The sequence below is a fragment of the Homo sapiens genome, chromosome 7, assembly GCF_000001405.40.
Source record: "Homo sapiens chromosome 7, GRCh38.p14 Primary Assembly".
NCBI lineage: Eukaryota > Metazoa > Chordata > Mammalia > Primates > Hominidae > Homo > Homo sapiens.
The window spans coordinates 79,137,686-79,160,849 of record NC_000007.14 but is presented as its reverse complement, the minus strand read 5'-3'; the positions used below and the strand labels follow the sequence as shown (position 1 = coordinate 79,160,849).

Here is a 23,164-nt window from a genome sequence, read left to right as displayed (position 1 = left end):
CCTGGGTAATAGGCATATTTGATGGGAGGATATACCAGTTATCATAAAGCCTGTCTGATATGGCTTGCATATGAAGCATATTAACTGCTTCATCTGGTGTGCTTCACTCGGTATTTTATAGGGAGAGTTGGGAAGACCCTTTCTCAGGACAGACCTTACAGTGGCATGTATCCACTTTACTAGGATGATCATTCTCTTTGGACTAATTTCCTGTGCATTTGGATTACATGTAATTATTAGTGATTGTTCAGGAGTGAGCTGTGGGTCTTGCATAAACTCTTAAATTCTCTAGCATTTAAAATTGAGAATTTTGTTCTTAAAGGGGTTATTTTTACAACTCACTATAGTAAAGATTTTTTAAGAAGCTGATGATAACAATCTACAAAATGGAACAATTCCTTTATATTATACCATTTGGTTTTTGACAGTTGCTTGGTTTTACACTTCCCTCATATCAACTACTCTCTTGGTAACCATGGGGCTTAGAATTAACTTTTGTTGCCCAAGCTTAATTGTTTCTTTTATTTTGTTTTATCTGTATGATTTTTTCTTTATTTTAAAGCAACACTTAAGTAGTTTTTTAACTAGAGGAAAAAACCTAGATTCACTTTTTTAAAGAAAAATCAACATCCTTGAGTTTTATAAACTTTACCGAAAACATATTTTATTTTCCTACTATTTTAACTTTTCAGTAACATAAATTTCCAGTGGTGGGGGATGGGGAACCAGAGGGTTTAACATGACTATAAGATTTTAAATTACTGGAGGGTTTTGAGATGAAATTTACCAAATTAATTTTACCAAAGATTACCAAGGTCATGTGAATTAAAAGGCATCTGAGCTAGCTTCTACCAATCTGATAAGTACCTTCTTAAGTAAGTTACTTGATTAGAGACCTTTAATTTAGTTTGGTAGTGAAATATCACTTTCACATGACACATATAAAGATAGAGATATAACAGCATGCAGAATAAAAAGACATGTCCAAAAGATACTTTATTTGCCTGTTTTTGAAAGAAAATTCTGTTACTTTAGATAATTAGTAAACATTATAGGAGCCAACAAAAAGTGAAGGGAGAGAGCTATGCTCCAAGGCCTTTTCGAAAGAGAAAGAACAGAACTTCTGAAATATCAGTCTGAAGAATGTTAAAGAGACAGATTATAGAATTTAAAAATTTAAAAACTTCTCGCATTAAAAATAAGTTAATATTTGTAATAAAATCTTGTTTAAACCAATTAGTTAGTTTTGTATTAGTGTGTATTTTTAATATAAAAGACCCATCTGTATAAAGGCTATTATAATTTCTTCTTCTTCTTTTTTTTTTTTTTTTTGAGACTGAGTCTCACTCTGTCATGCAGGTTGAAGCACAGTGATGTGATCTCAGCTCACCCGCAACCTCTGTCTCCTGGGTTCAAGACATTCTTCTGCCTCAGCCTCCCGAGTAGCTGAGACTACAGGCATACACCACCATGCCAGGCTAATTTTTTTTGTATTTTTAGTAGAGACAAGGTTTCACCATGTTGGCCAGGCTGGTCTCAAACTCCTGACCTCAGGTGATCCTCCCATAGCCAAATGAATTATACAACCCCTTAAAAAATTCCTTATGATGACTTACATAGACCATTCGCAACATGCTTAGACTTTCTGTTTTGTCCTAAATATCCCTCTCTCTTTAACAATCTAGTCATTTTATTTTAGGACAGAAATTTACCGCATGAGATCCTTTCTTATATAAAATTACTTTCCTTTTTATCTTCTTCACCAACATACTTCTTTATAGATTTAACTTTCTTTACATCTTTTATTTCCTGGTTCCTTTTAACTTGTGTATACCTTGTATAACCTGTATAACCTTGTATAACATGTATAAACAAGGTAAAAGGTATAAAACCTTAAATAAACTTTGAATTAGACAAAGATATTTAATAAGAACATTAAAAAATATTTTCCTATAACTTTTAAATTGGAAATTATCTAGATACTTAATATCAATTAATAAAATTAGATTCTAAATTATGACATTTGTTTCAAGCATTTATTCCATTTACCTGATTGCTTTAATAGTTTACCTAGATTATTTACAAAAACAATGATAGCAAATATTTAAATTTATTTTTCTATTAACCATTTTTATAGCTGTGAATTTCAAGTATTAAGTAATAAAACTTATGGTTAAATTTAGGGTATTTATACCAATAGCTCAGGATTTGACTATTTTCATTAAGCCAACAATATTTCATAAGCATACGAAAGCTAAGATTATTCTGTTTTCGGATGGGCTTTCTAGTTTTATAACCCTTATGGTCAATCTTATAGTATTCTGCAGGAATACATAAAACCACATGACCAATAAATGCAAAAAAATGCAAACAATTCTTAGGACATTTTTAATATCATTTTACCAATAACTTTAAAGCCAATTATTTATTAAAGATTTTTCTTAAGTCACGTGAACTTGGAAAAAGCATTTGACTAGTCTTTTTTTAAAGTATCTGATTTAAGCACTTTTATTTTTTAAGCCAATTAATTAGAGCTCTTTTATGTATTTTTAGTAGTGAAACGTTGTGTACACAACACATAAATACATAGATGTATTAGGCATGCTGATAGAAGTACATGTTATGATTTTTAAAACTTCTTTTCTTTCTTAGACTTCTAAATTCTTAATAACCTGTTTCACCATCCTAGGCAATTGTCAGCTAAATAGCCCTAAATTTGTATTTAAAGGAAACTACCTCAGGTGAAAATCAAATAGCAAAATTTATATCATATGGTATGGAGAGAAAAAGTCTGGCGTGCCAAGGGGAAATTAAAACCAATTTAACTGCCAATTAAACATAAAATTATAGAATTTATAAAGGTCTTTTAAATACACACACACACACACACACACACACACACACACACTCACACAAAGATTCTGTAGCATTTACTTCAGAACTTTAGCCATGACATAAATACAAATTAACTAGCTTGCAAAAAAAAAAAAAAAAAAAAACTTGTTAGATACACACAGTGGTTTTTATCTCAGTAGAAAAGCAACAGTAGATTTGAAGCAGTCAGAAAAGAAAATAGAGAAAAAGAATACTTAGGATCCCTATAGTTGGCAAGTCAAACTTAGGGCTCTTTACCTTAATGTAAATGTGCACAAAGACCATATTACTTCCATTTTATACAAACTCTGGCAAGGAGATGTGCCATAAAACATACAGAATGCTTGAAAGGGGGTCATTCTGCTTGTTCTTGCCTTATTTGTTGATTATTTGTTTCCTACTTTTTTTTTTTTTTTCTTAAAAGGAGGATCTGAGATGTGGCCTAGGAATTTTGTCTGGTGGATCAATGTGTGCTGCTTACAGGCAAGACTCCATAGTGTGTCACCATTGAGTCATTTCCACCCTCTTACATGTCTCAGTTTCTCTCTCCAGTGGTCTGTTACCTCTGAGAGGGCTCAAAACACTGGGTGATCAGCCCTTATATGCGTTTCCTAGACAAGACTTTTTTTTAAATTAATTTTTGTTGGGAATTTCCCGGTAGGGCCACTGCATGTTGTGAGGTGTCAATCCCCCAGACACTGCCATAAGGTCCCCAGTCACCTAAGGGTGCCTTTTGGCTGGGAGGAGAAAAATGTCCTTTCTCTTCAGAGCTGAGGAAACTTAGTCTCTTATTTACATATGAAAACAACAGTTCAGTTTCTCATGCAAATGCGCACAGACAAGCCAATTGAGATTAATTTTTGGAGAAAAAGCAACAGAGAAGACCCTTTAGAATGCATCTTTGAACTAGAATTAGGATCCTTTAGCAACAACTTCCTAGGAGAAAAACCAGCTCAGAATAAATCAAGGACTGTCAACCGAAGGGAGTTCCAGGACTCAGGAGGACTTAGCAGTTCTACCAGAAGAGAAGCATTAAGTTGGGTAGGCTTCAATGGGCCCCTGCTGGTACCTTAGCTCTGAGTTTGGGCAACTTCTTTGGGGTTCTGAGACTTCTCTGAGGCCCTATGTTGGATGCCAAATTATTGTCAATGAAAATAATCAAACTCTGTAAAATATTTGAAGATATTTATTCTGAGCCAAATATGAGTGACCATTACCAGGGACACAGCCATCAAGAGGTCCTGAAAACATGTGCCTAAGGTGGTCAGGGTACAGCTTGGTTTTATACATTTTAGGGAGGCATGAGACATCAATCAAATATGTTTGAGAGATACATATTTGGTCCAGAAAGGTGGGGCAATTTGAAGCAGGAGCTTCCAGGTTATAGGTAAATTTAAACATTTTCTGGTTGACAATTGGTTGAGTTTGTCTAAAGACCTGGGATCAAAAGAAAGGAAATGTTCAGGTTAAGATAAAAGATTGTGGAGACCAAGGTTCTATTGAAGTCTTCTAGTGGCTGCCCTTAGAGACAATAGGTGACAAAGGTTTCCTATTCAGACCTTTTAAAAGGTGCTAGATTTTCAGATAATCTGTTCAGGATTGGGAGGGCCTGGAAGAAAAAGATCTAGTTCTTTAACAGCATACTGATTCTTTACAGATGCAAATTTTCCCCCACAAAAGACAGTTTTATAGGGTTATCTCAAAATATGGCAAAGAAACATGTTTTGGGGTAAAATATTTTGATTTTCTTCTTTGTTACATAATGTTATGGCAGAATCAGATTGGAAAGCAAGTCACGATACATAGAGTTAAATAAAACCCATCTAACAAGAAGTTATATTTTGTAGGGCATGAATCCCCAGACCCCTTAGATAGGAATTTGGGGAAGATAAAAAAAATCAGAGCTTAGTCCCCATTAACATCACAGTCTGATTTTGAAAGAGTTCAGGCATGAAAAGAAGCAACATTCCATTCCTCATTCTAAATGAGTTATACCAAATGTTAGCATTCAGGGTGACTCCAATCTGCATACTCTAGCCAAAAGGTTCTTTTCAAAAAGTCAGTTTGATGCTTCTTCACTTATACTTCCATCAGTATAACATTTTTTTAATGTTTTGTAGTCGGATGAAGACCCAGTCTTCAACAAGGCCCACTGGGCCTTCTGACTTGACCCCATGCCTGCCTCAGTCTAGTGATGATCTCACACCATCATCTCTCTTACTGCTGACTGCAGTCACTTTGGCATTGGCCTTCTTTTAGTTCCTTGAGAGAGGTGTATTCCCTGCAAGATGACCTTTGCACATGCTATACCCTCTGTCTAAAACACACTTCCAACTCTCTGGTCCCCCTTTGCCTTTTTCTTAGATCTCACCTTTGTCATTTCCTGAGGAAAATATCCTTCTCTGGATTCTTTCTCCTCACCTTCCCAGCAGCCTACTTAAATTTTTTTGTTACCTGGGCTTATGGAACCATGGTGTTCCCATCTTTCCAAATACTTCTCTCAATGTGTAATTATATATTTATCAGTGAGATTGTTTAATTAATACCTACCATGGCCCCCCTCCCCACTAGAGCAAACTCTAGGCAGTTAGGAACCTTGTCTTATGTGCCTAGCATTTTATCTTAAGAGTCTAGCACAGTGCTGATTGTAAAATATACTGAGCAAATACTTGGATGAGTACATGAATGAGTGAATAAATGAATATATAAGTGAAATTGATTATTCATGACTTTAAAACATTGATCATCTCAATTAAAAGCTACACCTGTAAATAAGCAAAGCAAAGCATAGAACAAAGCCACTGCTATACCCATTAACAGTAAGCCCTCCTCATAGACCCCTGCCTGCAAACCAGCTGGCATTATTGCTATTACTTTGATGCCATGGGATGTGCCTTGTGAAAATTTTAATAAACCCAAAATAATGAAGACAGACTGTGACCTGAACATATTATGGACTGTCAACACTGTTACTATCCTTTCCACAAGTGGAACAAACGTAAGGAAAAGGAGAATATAGTGTGAAGGGAATTGTGCAAGCCATGCGCAAAATAGATTCAAATGGGCAAAACAGGTGTTTTTGTTGTTGTTGCTGTTTTGTTTTGTTTGTTTGCAAGAGTTTAGTTTTCAGAAGTCATTTAAAGGAGTAAAAGAGCAGCAGACCATTCCAGGCAGACAGGTACCATGTTAGAAAAAAGCACAAATGACAGAGGAAATTGAAAGACAAAAGTAATGTCAGCCAGGCTAAATATTCAACAAGATTTGAGGTAGCCAGAGAATAGTTTGTAGTCTGTCTCCAGGTTCCTTCCTGCTTGAGGTAATGTTATTGCCAGCTTAAAACTCTTCTATGTAAATGATGGTCTGGCATTTAAATCTCTCCTCCTCTAAAAGCACAAGAAAATGAAATTAAAGGCAGCCATTGAAGTACTTCTTTTCTTGAAACCAACACTGGTGATAATATGGATTGGCTTGGCATTTGTTAGTAATTCTAGGAGGTGATGCCCTTCCAATTTATTTGTGCTTTTACTGGCATTAGCAGAGAGACATTCTTTGTAGACAGTCAAAACAAGATCAAATGTAATCAAATTTGTAATAAAATAACATTTTTCAACAGTCAAGAAAAGGAAGCTTGACATGTAAATGTCATCCAGCAAAGTTGGTATTTTAGGTTTTCTTTGCTCTTTTGTCAAATGCTGAAGGCAAGACTTCTTGAATCACTGATATTCAATGACTACTTTATTGAATACTTTTGAAATTGCATTTGAAAGGTACAAATAGAAATTTTATCTGATTGGGATAAGCTGAAACTAACTTTCACCTGTTGAAAGATAGCCAAAGAAACATTATCTACAACCCTTACAGTTGTAAATGGTCCTTTATAAGTCTATTTCTTTCTTAAGTCAGAAAAATGAAATGTTAAAGGTTCCAAAAAAGGAATATACAGCTAGAAATTAAAATTCAAAATGGAAAATATATTTAAAAGTAATTGATAGAAGCCATTGGCCCAAGTGATGGCATATAAATTACTCTTTTATATTTCTTCCTTTAATTTAACTTTCCTGTTTCTTAATTATTCCATTTTGGTGTGGAAAATGCCAGGACTTTAATTTTATACACTAGATCACAGTGAAAGGTGGCCTTGGAAGTAATGAGGCTTTATCCATTAATGTGATGCTTTGCATAAACCCATCTGAATCTGTCCTTGCTTTGCTCTTCAGCCTGTCCTCCATTGACATCAAATGCAAATCTGGTCCTGTAACTCTTGTGATAAAAACCCAGCCATGGCTTCCACTATGCTTAGGGTCAGCCCATCCCTGACCTCACTCCTAGCCATACTTTTGCCCACTTCAATGCCTTCCTAGTCCTCCAGCCGTAACTCACCTTCAGAGGAATGCATTTTTACTTCATTTTCACGTAGTTACTCTTATGCTTAGGTCTCATTTCAGAGTTGATTGCACAGAGGCCTTTCCTGCTCTCTCTGTGACTAGACCCTGCCCAGTCTGCTATGTGATTTCATGACTCCAGTAGGTTTGCCTTCAAAGCACTTCTCACAATTTGTAGTTATCTATTTGTAAAACTATTTTATTATTGCCTGCACCCTGCTAGATTAACTGTGCGCTCCATGAGGGCAGGCTATAGGTCTGCTGCTCGCCAGTGGTGCTCAGAGCCTGGTGGGCATTCAATGAACAGTTGCCAAGCATGTAACTAAATGAAGTTCTTGAAGACATGAAATAAATGGCTTGTAGAGCTGACTAAATTTAGAAGAACTAAGAATTTTAATCATATCAAAATTGAAAGCATTCTCAACTATCCTGGGTATTTATTTGCTTCTGAGTTTATTGATGTCCCTTTCACTAGAATCTAGGCTCTACCAGGAAAGGGTTCTTATCACTTTATTTACCATTGTATACTTGTTCTATGAATAAGTGATACTATATTTGTCTGGATTTATCCAAAGCTTGTTCTAAAGGCTTATGATACCAAAATTAATAAAATAGAAATTGTTATATAAAGAAGTTCATAATATAATTGGAGATTTTAAAAATTACAAATCATTGTTTTGTCTCAGAGGATAATTTGAGGTTGAAATTGATACCTTAAGTCTGTACTCAGTTTATCCTACAACTGGAGATAGAGATGAAAGTTCTCTACAATAAGCTCTACTGCTACCTCATGCATAGAGAACAGGTATGATGTGGGTATTCAAAGTTAAGGATGGACTCCACCTCTAAATCCCCAACCTGTCTGCTCCACCTAAACACCTGGAGAACTTTGTAAACCTGACAGTTTCCAGAATCTTATAGAAATTCATTTGGAGTGGAACCTGAAAATATATGTATTTTAAAAGCACTTCCCGCCTCCCTGGAGCTCTGATACCCATCCATGTTTGGAAACCAGCAGACAGTGTTGCCTGGCTCAGTAAAAAAAAACTTCTGTGTTTTGTGCTAGTGATGAATTGTAGCCAAATAGCACTTACTTGCATAATTTAAATCTCAAAAGCAAGAATACTTTTTCTTAACGAAGCTAGGTCTTAAAATTGAAGCTTGTACTTTTTAAAGTTATTTATTCAGACATAGATTTAGTTTTCACTTATCAATCCTTCCTACCAAAAAGCACAAGGTGCTTTGCAAATATTAACCACAGGAGAAACAGGAGTCTTGACAAAAACACTGTCAAGTAGATGAAATGTTTTTAGTCAATGAAAAAATATAATTCTGCTTTTCAAATTCAGTTTCGAATGATATTTCTTTCTCTAGTGATGTTTCAATCTGTTGCTTTGTTGGTTAGGAGTATTTTACTTACACTTAGATACTCTTCTACACACTGGCAGTTGAACATTCTCTTTTCCCTATAATTCCTTTTCTCTTTACTGCTGAATGATAAACCACACATTATTTCCATTATTTACATAGAAGAAAGGGAGTTGAAGTGCTACTTTACCATTCCTCCCAACGTATCTTAATTTATCCCTTTTTGATTGTCTCCCATCATCCTGAAGTGGTGTCCTTGAATTTCAAAATGAGGACAGGTTTTGATTCATGTTCTATCACAATCTACTGTCACACCATAATTTCTGGACTTTAGACACCTGAAGTACTGGTAAGGCATCTAAAAGGGGAGTTTGTGTCTTTCTCCCTTAGAGGTTTTTTCCAGCTGAAGTAGTTTTCATTTTTATAAATCCACAGGGAAGCCACACATAGACTTGTCTCTCCACAAACACCTTGTTCTCATCTTATTTTTCTTATTACTTTTCTATCAAATTTACCTGCCCTGTGTTATGTTCTGCTGAAGTCCAGAATTCAGCTTATTTTTCCCTTCAGAATAATTTCAGAAAATGACTGTATGTAAAAATTAGTGGTTAAAAATTGTTCAATGTCCAGGGGGTATTTCTAATGTATACTCAGTCACACTATACTTGATATCAGGACCTAATTTTAATGATAGTAGTTCAGGCATCCAGTTCTCCCTGTGTGCCCTCAGGGATTCTGAGAATATTTAATGTAAACTGGAGAAAAGGAGAAAATGAAGAATAAGGAGCTTTCGTAACAAAATTTAGTTGCAAATAAATCATTTACATTCTAGTATTGTAGTGCCTAACTTAGCTAGATAGGGCTCCATCGTTAGATATGCCAAATGTTAGATTGTTCATCTTTTGATATAATTAAATACTAATTTTTTTGTAAAGCACATTTTGTATGCTACAAAAACAATTTAGTAGGTTTCAAGGTAACAAGATAGAAGTTACATGAAATTCCAAAAAGTTATGTAATAAAAAAGCATTTCTTGAATGATATATTTCTTGAATGATCTATTCCTGAAAATATGCAAGAAAGTACATAGCCATCTTCGTCTGCAACAAAATGATAATAACTGGTAATTTCAATAACAGAAGCAGCACTGAGGAAGCTAACATGTTTTTTTAAAAAGTCTGCCTGGTCATCTCAGAAAAACAAAAACAAAAACAAAAACAAAACAAAACAAACAAACAAAAACGCTGTGAGCCCAGTTTAAGTGAATAAGATAAATAAGTGTGAAACATTTTTAAAATGCCTTTAACTAGATAACTTATTTTAAGATATTTTATTAGTCAACTTTTAAAAGAAGAACCCACTACTTTATAGAAAACCTGAATTTTTCCATATAACTATCTAGTAGGGTTTAGTTACTATAGGTTCTGTAGTCTTCTCATTGAAAAAACTGTATAGTCCCACAAATTTATTTCAAGCTTGACATCCTGAAATATTTGAATTGATGAAAAAGAAGGAAAAATTGAATTATGGCCCACCTGATATGAAATATCATGTAAACATTCTGGGAAGTTATATTATTAAACATTTATTCCACAATCAACATTCTGCAAAAATATCAAAATGAAGAAAAATAGTACTTTTAGAACACATTATTTATGTGATTAAATATATTGATAAAGTTCTCTTTTATACAGAGACAAATGAGTCATTTGACAAGTATAAATTTCTGCCAAGTGTTTCTTAACTTCAGATTTATTTTAGGGAGAAATGTCTAGAAAAATATTTTAACTTTATCATCAAAAGAAAATCTGCAATACGTCTATGGAGGGAAGATATTTATTGGTGTTACCACCATCTTCATTAAGAAACCAAAAAGAAATGTACAAAATGTTAACATTGGCTATTTTGGGATGTTGGAGTTATGAAAGATCTAATGTTTAATGTGTGCCTTAAGGGTTTTTTTTTTTAACCGTAAATTTACCATTTTATTTAGGAAAAGAAAATGTACACAGATGTTTAGATTCAGAAAGGAAATCTCTTGGCTCTAGGGCTGCTCCATGGATTTGCCTTCTTACCTGTCCCCACCGTGATTGTGGTCTGGCTCATCTCCCTGCATTCCTTCCTCCTGCCAGCTGACTTTCATGCCATCTTTCTGCCACACAAACATGTGGCTAGTTAACTTCAGCTCATCTTTCCCCCTTCCTCTTACACTTTATCTCCTGATCTCACATAGGTTAACAAATCCTCCCCTGCATATCAACACTTGCAGCTCTCCTATTGCTTAATATTGATAGGAAAAGAATGTTTCTGGAATTTCCTACTAAAGTCTTTCCTAATTTCAGGCATTTAAATGCCATTTTTAAAAAATTTGAGACTCTGCTAAATAATACTTTTTTTGTTAAGTTACTGACTTTTCAAATATCTTGAATATATTTATTTTTAAAAGAAACCTTGTGTCCTTACTGTAAATTGAAATGAGGCAATGACCCTAAATTCCTGCCAGATATTCCTACCTAAGGCTCTGAGCCTGAGGTTCCCTGGATCTTGGCTGGAAATGTGTTTGCCAGTAGTAGAAAGATAGCACTAAACTGAAGGTTGCTTCTTGATATAATCAAAAGAATTGGAAAGGACTAACTCATTGTATGATTCAATTTCCTTCAATGCTCAGTCTTTGAAGGAAATGAAAATCATGGCTTCCTCCTCCGGTGAAACCTTCTCAGGTTTGGGTTAATGCTGCTCCATTGCATATCTGCGTGGTTCATCCCCTTTGAAAGAAAATGAGCCCATCAGTGACCAGAGCTCCACCAAAGAAGGTGTCTGCAAAGGTTACGCATCCAAAATCATGTTATGAGAGGAGCCATTTAGCCAGTAGAGTTAGCAGTGGCGTGTGGTAATCAGCATTGAGGGCGTGAAAACCTGTCATGTGAAATTGTAATGTGGACTTATTTGATTGGGTGATAGAAACCAGAGGTAAGATCAGTGTCAGGAAGATGCCCAGAAGTATACCGTGGTTCTCTCTCGCTCTATATATATAAGCATATTGTGGTTCTCTGTCTATATATATAATATATATATATAATTTTAGGAAGTATATATATTATATTATATATAATATAATATATTATATTACATATAAAAATATATATCCATATATATAATATATTATATTATATTATATATATATATACTTCCTAAAATCTAGTGCTATTTAAAAATAACATTGGAGCACTAATGTCCCAGAAAATAGACAGGGGAGGATGAGCAATGCAAACATGGTATTTCCTTCCTTCCACACTCTCCTGAATTCAGAGGGAGCAAATAATTACATATATATATAAAACATATATATGTATATAAAACATACATATATATATATAAAACATACATATATGTGTATATATATATATGGATAACCACCAAATAGTATACAATACAGAGAAAGGGCCAGAGAGAGCCAGGGCTTTGTAACCAATTCAAGAAACTCTGGGTCCCAATCTGCTGCCCACATTTTCTTCACACACCCTCTTTTTTCCTGGTATCATAGAGAGCCTGAGAGAGACCTCAAGCACAAACACATCCATGGCCAGAGTGAGTTACCTCTGAATGAAGACAAAAAATGGGACAAAGGATTACACAGACCAATAAAGAACCAGTTAGAAACTTCCAAGTCTAGCAAACTTGGAATAAACCCAAACAAGAAGATATATGAGGTTTACAATAGAGAACATAGTAAAATGGAAGAAGCAGAACCACACAGAATGGTTAAATGCTGAGAGACCACCGTAATTTCACCCTTCAGGGGAAATAGTTAGGCAGATCACCCAGTGAAGGCCAGTGACTGACACTTAGGTGGGCCTGGGAAGTGAGACAGAATTTCTACCCAACATCACTCAAGACACAGATTCAATGACAGGAATTGGCATTCCTGTAGGTCTTTCTAAACAGTGAGAAGCAAAGCATCCTAACAAGGTTCACCAAAGGGTGAACATCCCACATTCTCTCTGTCACCTCCCACCTCGCTCCAATCCAGCCCAGCAATAAATGGATTGATAGCTTTTGCCCATGGAGCAGTCATGAAGAGCTGTTCTGAAAATTTCCTTCTGATAAAAATATGTGGGAGCTGGGCTTCGATGGGCCACTGACAAGGTCTTCTTCCATAAGAAAAGTTCTGTTTATCCAAAGCCAACACTTCCGTGTGCTCCAGAAAGCCTCCATTCCATCTCTCAACTAGAAACCCTTTATCTATGTACAGTAGCAAGCAAGCCAATGTTTCATAATTTATGTCAGTGGATACGATACCTTAAAGCCAGGTTCTGACCCCTCAGAACATACAAGCTGCGGCTAGAGCTGGACATACCTGGCCGGAGGACAAGGAGGTGATCTGCACCCAGGGCCTGGCACCTGACCCACCCAGAGCTGCTGCCACCCTCATGCTTTGCATTCTCCCTGCTCCATTCTCCTGTCCCTCCTGCTCCATTCCCTGGGGCAAGAGAACATGCACCTCCACAGAGTCTGTTTCTGGAGAGGGGCAGAGAGAGAAGATGTGAAGTGAGGGAAAGTGAAGGAGAGAGAATGCAAGATGAGATCAGGTTTGCAGTCACAGTGTTAAACTGTTTATCTGGGCCCTGGGGTGGACATCAAAGGGTTCACTGACATCTTTTGTTAGGGGATGGTCTTTGAGGCACCGACCCTCCTGTGTCATCTGTGCAGGTGCTCTTTGGAGTTGAAGAGAGGCAGCATTGGTTCCCAAGCTAAGCAGCCCAAGCCACTTTCTCAACCTGCAGAGCTTGCTTACTTCTTTTAAAGGCTAGAGGAGGATCCACTACGGCCCAAGGGTGGGCATGACTTGTGGGAAAAGAAAGAGTAAAGCAAGCTTGGGCTTTATTTGGGGATAAATGTCATTTACTCCATGATGATTACTTCATATATTATTTTCCTGTTCCTGACTCTTGGTTTGGTTTACTAAATCCTGGAAAAGCTCTTTTTTAAAAAGTAACATTTATTGAATATTTTTTCTATGGGCTGCACATTGTCTGGAATGATTCTTTGCATGTATTAACTTACTGAATCCTCGTCAAAATCCTATGCAGTTGACACTGCGATTCTAGTTTTACAGATGAGAAAAGTGAAGCATAGACAGTTCAAATGAGCACCCCATGATGGGTAGTAACTGTTAGACCTGAGATATGAACTCAGGTGGTCTAATCGCAGATCCTGCATTCTTAACACTTTGATATCTCTCAAGTAATCTAGAAGAGACTCTTGCTTCGGGTAAGAGGTTGAGCCAGCTAAATAAAGCACAGTCTATTAGGACAGAAAGACGAAATATCTTACTCCATCAGGGCAGAGTTACACTGGAATAGCAAAATTCCCCTATTAGATGGAAAAGACATTATCCATTGTGTTAGCCTGTTCTCACACTGCCAATAAAGGCACACCTAAGACTGGGTAATTTAAAAAGGAAATAGGTTTAATGCACTCACAGTTCCACATGGATGGGGAGGCCTCACAATCATGATGGAAGGTGAATGAGGAGCAAAGTCACGTCTTACATGATGGCAAGCAAGAGAGCTTGTGCAGGGGAACTCCCATTTATAAAACCATTAGATCTTGTGACACTTATTCATTACCACAAGAAGAGTATGGGGGAAACCACCTACATGATTCAGTTATCTTCACCTGGCTCCACCCTTGACAAGTAGGGATTATTACAATTCAAGGTGAGATTTGGGTGGGGACACAACAAAATCACACCATCCATTAAGTCATATCTGTCAAAGATTGGACCCTACAGGAGGCAAAGGACACAGGATAGGCAGTAGGAAACCAAAAATGTCCAGATCATAAGAGGCAACTTCCAAAATAAGAAAGCTGAATTTCAACACATGAACTCGTGAGAACAGCAAGAGACAAACAAGATCATGAGTGGTACAAAGCACAAAAAGGTGTGGTTGCCTGAAAAAATCCAAACTTAATCTTCTTCTGTGTTTGCTGAAAGCTAATTTTGCTCTCCCTCTTCCACATCACAACTGAGTCCAATTTTGCATACCTTGGTTTAAAGCTTACACAATAAGCACTTTTCTCAAATGGTAAGCCAGCACACACATTTTGGATTGTAGAGCATGAACAGAGGTTTAGTGCAGCTTTGAGTTTCTTTAAGGAAAAAAAAAAATCTCTTACATCACTCTCTTCAGTTCCTACTAATAAAATTGGGAATAACAAAAATGAGGGCATGGTAACTGGGTTTATTAGTCCTTGAAAATGCATCCTTCTTCCATGCCCCAAATCAAGATAGCTGAATCAAGAAGAAACGCCTTCTGTGAAGCAGGGCTCTGCATGAGCATGATTTTGGATGCATGACACTCTATTAGTGTCCAGTGACCAAATTCCTTAATCATGAATTGAATTTTTCTACTTCAACTAGCATCAGCCTTGGTTAGAGAAAACAAATGTGCTAGACATAATGTACTTCTGATTACCTAAAAATAAATTCAGAAATTAAAATCCCTGGAGATTTCAGTTCTGGAGTGGCAGAGATTCAGAAGCCAGATGCTCTGTAGGCTTTTAAAAACAGACAATGTGAACACGAGCATTGGTTCTCTGAGGACTGATAGTGCAACTAGTATGTATTTTATTGGCTTTTTTTTTTCTAACTTGTATTTTCACAGCAGGAATAGATTAGGTCTTCCTGTTTGCTCTCCCTAATTCATTTGCTCTTTTTTTGCAGATGCTTGCTCAAAAACACATTTTGTTTAGTTGTAGGTGGTTTCTTGTTTCCCAGCTCAAGGATGACATTATAATATTCCTCTATTGAGACCAAATCAACAGACTATTATTTTAGGGACTCCTGTGCTCTATCGAACATCATGCCTTACCTAGGTAATACATGATGTATTAGAGAAATGAATAGGCTATGAAATATGTGGAAGATTTTTATAAAATAAAGTCTCTTTGGAAGAAAGGTGAAATGGAAGACAGGAACATGTTTTAAATGTATATTTCTAACAGAAAAATAAAGTAGGAAAAAATTGTTTCTTAAATCAAGCAATGTTCAGAGGCAGCACATCAATTTTCTAGGAAGTAGTAGACCCTTCCTTATACCCAAATTATGTTAAATAACAACTTCCCAATCCTAAAGCCCAGGTCAGCTCCTTCATTTTTGTGAAGAAGAACCTTGTCAACCCCTAGAAAAACATTTCCAAACCCAGCAATAAAGTCAGAAATTTCATTTCCATAGAAACCAAAAATGAAACAATCTCTTTAATGTGAGTGCAGAGCCACAGTTGGAGCAGCAGCACATTTCCTGACTAAGATAAATTGTCACCCGTAATATTCACAGAAACAAATAGGAAAGATAAATAGAGGGGTTGGGGAAGGCATGTTAAAAATGGAAGATTCCATAGAAATTTTAAACGGCAAACTGTGAAGTTTTAACTTCTCTCTTTGGAGCACTGACATTTGACCTTTGGAAGCTTTGCTTGTATCTTTAATCATCAGTTTCTTCATGTGGGAAATGAGAGTAATAATGCCTGTCACCTGCTTCTTAGGTAGTTAGCACTCACAGTGAACTCTTACTATGTAAAAGGCATAAAGTGCTTATATTAGTCCATTCTTGCACTGCTATAAAGAAATAGCTGAAACTGGGTAATTTATAAAGAAAAGAGGTTTAATCGACTCACAATTCTGCCGACTTTACAGATAGCATGGCTGGGGAGGCCTCAGGAAACTTCCAATCATGGTGGAAGGGAAGGCAGACATGTCTTGTCTTACCTGGCTGGAGCAGGAATAAGACAGAAGGGGGAGGTGCTACATACACACTTGTAAACAATCAGATCTTGTGAGAACTGGCTCACTATTATGAGAACAGCAAAGGGGAAATCTGTCCCCATGATCCCACCAGGCCCCTCTTCCAACCACTGGGGATTACAATTCCACGTGAGATTTGGAGACACAAATCCAAACCATATCAGTGCTTTATATGAACTTACTCAGTTCTCCCTGTTATACATATTATGTAGGTAACATTAATAACTAACAATTACATGATGCCTCTTATGTGCCTAGCACTGCTGTGGGTACTTTGCCTACATTTATGAACACATTTCATTTGTGAAAACAATGAGGTAAGTACAATGATTGTCCCACTTTACAGATGAGGAAATGGCAAAAAGCAAGTAGGATACTGTATGTTTGGTAATGCTGTGAAGTGTTCTATATAAGTACCTAATTTTGTTATTTTTAGGTATTAATTATCTATCTTCTGTGCCTGTAATTATATAATTCCTTTCTTCCTACTCCAGTTTGGAAGATAAATCTTAACTAAAATGGTATTTATTACATGACTTAATAGTTTCATATAAAATATATACTTTATTTTACATTTTAATGTTATATGCTTTGCATGATAGTAATATTGAAATTTTAAGGGATATTTAAATATCATATAATTGTAAAGTAATGTTTTAACTATTGTTCAAAAGCTTTTAAAATTACTAGAATTAATTGTAATCTGTGCTGAAAAATAGAAGCTCACATTTGTTCTATATCTAACAAAACTCTTAAAAGCAATTATACACTGGTTCCTGCTTTAGGCCATTTATCCTGAAGTGTTGTAGGATTTGAAGTTCAATCTTAATCATCTACATCAGCATTGGGATATTGTGGTCAGAGTTTTACACTGTATTTATTATTATTTGAGTTTTATTACCACAGCAAATGGAGCATGGTCATCTAAAATTGGACAGAACAGGTGCTCATTTAGAACTGTGAAAATGTGTAATTTAATCAACACAATTCTTTAGGATGTGTTTTTAGCTTAACAGATGTTACAACAAACCTGTGTTTGCATAGTTTCATCTCTTCACATCACTTAATACTGAAACAGAGTATTGCCAAGTTATCCCTAGCTATTCTCCTAGAGCCTGATATGAAGCACAAATAATTATTCACCTTTTTTCCACATCCGTCTGCTGTTTGCATCTAAGTTACTCTATGCCTAAGTCAAAACCAAAATTATTGGCAGCACTATGTAAAATTGTGTTGAATGTTTTTATCTAGAGAGTGAAAACTATGTATACTGATTAAACACAACTTACCACAAACATTTTTCTGGATTATAATAAATGAAGAGAGTTTAAAAGCCATCTATTTTACTGATCTTTTATTTTCACTCTTTGTTCATTTATCAGAACAAAACTGCAAAAGGCTTTTATAAAAGAAGACATGGCGTTGCCTGAAATGTCATGTGAAGCATGGCATATGGAAATGCAGCTGATAGTAGTGTCAGAAAGATGACATGTGTCACTTGTCAAAGAGCAAAAAGGGTGGGCTCCCTGGCTGACATGCTGCCTATTTATCGCATGGAAACTTTCCAGCTTCTCTGCTGGTGGAACAGGGACCATGACTGGGGATAATCAAAACACTAAAAGGGTGGGAACAATTTAACAGATGCTGGATGGCAGGTAAAACTGAGGAGCTAGATCCAACATGCTTAACGGTAGAGTGTCAGGCAAGTAAAATAACAGACTCTTCAGGTCTCTGGACTTGCTCTCATTTTATGTTCTGGTAAATGCCTATATATCTTTTAAGATTAAACTACATGTTGACATCATCATTACAATATGTAATTGTCATTATTCACACATCCACATGCACACACATGCACACTCACAGCAAAACATTCTCCATGTTCCAGTTTTTCAATACACCCATCTTCAGGTCCTCTTTCTAGAACGGTAACCCCGAAACCAAGGCATGCAGCCATAAGGTTGTAGGTTCAGTTTAGAAGCATTTTTTCCTGTTAAAGAAAAGCTGTGGAGTTAAACTCTGTCTCAATCATTTTAACAACATAAATTTATGTTTAATGTGAACCAAACTCAGGTGTTGGTGGAGTAAAGAAAGTTTTTGAGAATGTACACTTTAATTAGAGGGGATATTGTAACAGTCACTGGTGTAAAAACATGAACCAATCAAGATATCCAAATAACAGAATAGATAAAATAAGTGGGAAATTAGAAAAGGAAAATGTTGTGAATTTACCACATGAAATTTCATTTCTAGTTAAGCCTCAGTGATCTATATTGCCTGTAATTATAGCCACAATGTGTAAGACCCGGAAACATGTATAACCTCACTCAGTGATTCATGATTATGGGAAAGTATTTATTTTGTATCTATTTGTTTTGTACCTATTGTACCCAACCAACATTTGTGTATGGTAAATAACCTGGAAGGACAGTTCACTGGATTCTTCCATCGAGATAATATAGGCAAAATGAAAAAGACTAATATTAGTCTACATAAAAGTATTGTATTATGCATTAAAACCCAGAAATTTAATTGATATTCAAGACATAGGTATCCTATGAAGCTGGAACTAGTTAGATATTGAAGCTTGAGCCTCAGCTAAGGAGATGTTAAGAATTTATGTAAATTCAAAAGAGCATGGCAACTCTTCCAGATCTGCGAAAAAAAAAACACGAACAAAGCCAACGAGAATTCAACTTTGTGATGGTGAATAATGGGGTACCAAGAAGCTAGAAAGTCTGGAATTGACGTTTTGGGTATTATTGAACACAACGTTATTTGGCCATTTGCATTGATTATTGAAGTAAGATATAGTACATTAATAATTATTGACTTTTGAGCAAAGAAATAAAAAAACAAAGGCCCAAAGGAAAGTTAGAATAACAATGGTGTGCATCATTATTTTTAGAAGTAATGAGAGATAGGGGACAGAAATAGAAGTGGCAAAGAATAAATTTGGCTCTGAAGTAGATGTTACATTAATACATGTATGAGGTGGTGAGGATTTAGACAAGTTGAAATGGCAGCATGATACAGACATTTGAAAGGGAAAACTGGGAGGACTCAGTAACTTTCTGTATAGTGAAATATATGAAAAATCCAAGAGCCAAGTATTTTCCTTTCTCTGTATTTTTAGTATCCAGCACATCATCTGGAACAAAGAAATCATTTGGTAAATGTTGCACCTGATGAAGATAATACAAGACAGGAAAAGGAAGGAGTTGAGAAAACAATCCAGGTTTTTGAAAAACTGTCAAGAGCGGCAGATACTGGGGTCATGAGGAGAAAATAGCTTGCCTAGAAGAAAGGTGTTTTAATTTGATAAATGTAGGATTTGTGGTGATGGTGAACTGTCCAAGTACTTATAAACAACTGAAAGGATTAGACAGTTTGACAATTCATTTATACAAATTGCTTTTTATTTGAAAACCTAGAAGTATTTAGAAACTGATTAAGGCACTACACACTTGGATTCGTATTGATGCTATAACCAAACCAAAGGACTTAATATTCTTAACAATGTTGCTATTGCCAAAAACAATAAAGGAAACAATTTACATTTAAAATATCTTAAAATAATCTCGTAATTTTTTACATTGTGATTACATACTGTGTCATTTCTTTGAACTTTAGGCACTAGGATAGTGGGAGAACAACGATATACCAAATAGATCAAAGCCATATTAAGAGTAATTTGAAAATATACCCTAGAATTTGGAAATAACATTTTATAATATTGATTATGGTTCATAATCTGATGTTTAGATTGAAGACTCTGGAAGAAACCTACAATCATTGTGCTATTTTGACTTTTTGATGCTCAAATCATTAATCGTGGGGTCAGATTTACTGTTTTTCATCGTCCTTTCCATATTTCAAGGTTTCAAATGACTTCTTGTATCTAGTTATTATTTTTTAAAGCACTACACAGTCTTATTTACATAAACAAGATACAGTAATAATTAGTATGGTCTCAGAGGAGAGAAACAACATTTCTGAGGCCTATTAATAATGGGGCAGAGAGGAATTCATATTCTTTTGAGGAGCTTGTGAATTTCAAAAAATTATGTTTCCCAGACTAATAATTGATAAATAGATATGCAGAGATTAAATTACTTGCAAAAATATAGTGAATCAATGAGAAAACAAGAAATAAACACCCAATTTTTAGAATCCTACATTCAGCATAAAATCTGGACCATACCATTTCTCCACAGTGACAAATAAAAATTGCTTTAAGCTAGCAAATGTGATGGGCTTTCATGATCAGAAGTCAAAACCTGGGGGAAATCAAATGACCTATTTAAAGACCTGGCCAAAATCTTAATGGTCTCGAAGGCTAAAGGGGATGTCAGATGTATTCCAGGAAAGTTAAAGCCAATCAGCTGTGTTTACCTTTATAAAGCTGCTGGCTCCCAAGTGGCAGGGTATCAGAGCAGCATTTAAGGAAGCCATGCCCTGCTACAGGTTCACACATATTACTGAAATTCTAGGCTTACTCCCATCTTCACATGGTTTCCATTTACTTTCTGAAAGGATTGTAAATAAGAAACATGCTTACTATGACTGCAGGCATCTTGTAGTCATTGAGATTAACCATTAGGCTCCACATTATGGTTTTTTTGGTTCATTTGTTTAAACTGTTATTGCTGTGGAAACAGCCTTTGAATCCAGGTAATAATGTGACTGTTGCTTAGTGATCTAGAATTATAATAAAGAAGTAGACATGTATCTTCATCCACTCAATTCGTGTATAGTACTCCCAGTTACCAAATTTACCCCTTGCTTCCTGACAGCCTTCCTTAGCTACGGGTAATACTCCTGAGACAAAATACAACCTCCCATTTGTCTCATGATACCTGGCACATAGCTGGAGTTCAGTAAGTGGCAGTAATGAGGGAAGCCGTGTATCAGAGTGGGATCCTTCAGACATTGGCTTGAGTCGTAGCTCCCTTGTGTGTCTGCACATGTTCTGTATCCAAGTGTAACCTCCCTGAGTCCCAGTGTTATAATCTGTAAAACAGAGAAAATAATATCACCTTTGTAGAATTGTTGGGAGGATTATAGAAGAAAAGACCTTAGCATGGTAGGTGGTACTTAATGAGTGGTAAATGAGTGTCAGGTAATGGAAATCCTAACTATTAGATTAACCCTTTTAGGTAAATAGAAATAATAGGAACTTGGGTTACAAACATGTATTTGTTTCCTAGGACTGCCATAACAAAAGAGCACAGACTGGGTGGTTGAAATAATTGAAATTTATATTCTTGTGGTTCTGGAGGCTGGAAGTTCAAGATCAAGCTGTCAGGAGGTTTGGTTTCTTCTAAGGCCTCTCCCCTTAGCTTGTAAATGATTGTCTTCTTTCTGTGTTCCCAGATGGCCTTTTCTCTGTACACACACATGCCAGGTGTCTTTGACTCTTTTTTTTTTTTTTTTTTTTTTTGAGACAAGAGTCTGTCTCTGTCATCCAGGCTGGAATGCAGTGCTGTGATCTTGGCTCACTGCAAGCTCCGCCTCCCGGGTTCACGCCATTCTACAGGGGCCAACCACCACACCCGGCTAATTTTTTTGTATTTTTAGTAGAGACAGGGTTTCACCATGTTAGCCAGGATGGTCTCGATCTCCTGACCTCGTGATCCGCCCGCCTTGGCCTCCCACAGTGCTGGGTTAGGTGGCTTGAGCCACCGCGCCTGGCCATCTTTGACTCTTTTTATAACTACACCAGTCATATTGGATTATGGCCCCACCCTTAGGGCATCATTTAACCCTCATTACTTATTTAAAGGCCCTGTCTCCAAGACCAGTCACATTGGGGGTTATGGCTTCAACCTGTGAATTTTAGGGGAATTCCCTTCAGTCTGAAATAGAAAGCCATTGTTCAAACATAGTTTTACATTTGAATATGGAAGGAGGGCCTTGAGAGAAGCCTATACTACTTTCCTAATCACTCTTGTATTCATACATGATAAATTTTATGAAAATAATGGTCTCAATTTTACTTGGACTTAGGGACTGGAACATTGGGTAGTTAAATTCCATTGCACAGAAAGGGAATACAGTTTTAAAGAAGAGGGTCTCAAATGTTGAGCATAATAGTCAACTGTGTAGCTGTAGCTTACTTAAAAGGCAGCTGTAGGTTCCATCCAGAGAATATGAGTTCTTGAGCCTGGTCTGTATTTGTTTCCTATGGCTACTATGAAAAAAAATTACCACAAATGGAATGGCTTAAAATGATGCAAATTTACGATCTTACAGTTCTGGAGGTCAGAAGTCGGAAATGAGTCATATGGGCTAAAATCAAGAGTCAGCAGAGCTGCATTCTTTCTGGAGACTCTAGGGAAGAATCCATTTCTTGCCTTTTCTAGCTTCCAGAGGCCACCTACATTACTTGGCCTGCAGTCCCTTCCACCATCTTCAAAGCTCATCATTTCAACCTGGTACCTGTCTCTTGTAAGTGTGCTTGTGATTACATTACGCCCACTAGGATAATCCATGATCATCATCCCATTTAAAGAGTCTCAATTTAACAATAACTGCAATGTCCTGTGTGCCACGTATGGTAACATATTCACAGGTTCCTGAGATGAAGACATAGACATATGTTGTGGGGTGGGGGGTACTATTCTGTCTACCACAGGGTGTAAAAATCTGTATTTGGGCTGGTCATGGTGGCTTATGCCCGTAATCCCAGCACTTTGGGAGGCCGAGGTGAGTGGATCACCATGTTGGCAGGC

At 36.3% G+C, this 23,164-nt stretch overlaps 1 protein-coding gene and 1 long non-coding RNA gene across 13 annotated transcripts in view; one reads left to right on the top strand and one right to left on the bottom strand.

Annotated features, from left to right (window-relative positions):
• The window catches only part of LOC105375366 (uncharacterized), a 37,408-nt gene extending 16,347 nt beyond the window's left edge, over positions 1-21,061 (bottom strand). The window contains exon 1 of the long non-coding RNA XR_927698.3: positions 20,992-21,061. This is a non-coding gene — a long non-coding RNA (uncharacterized LOC105375366). The remainder of the gene's footprint in view (positions 1-20,991) is intronic.
• MAGI2 (membrane associated guanylate kinase, WW and PDZ domain containing 2) overlaps positions 1-23,164 on the top strand; it is a 1,436,613-nt gene that overhangs the window by 292,818 nt on the left and 1,120,631 nt on the right. The window lies entirely within an intron of this gene.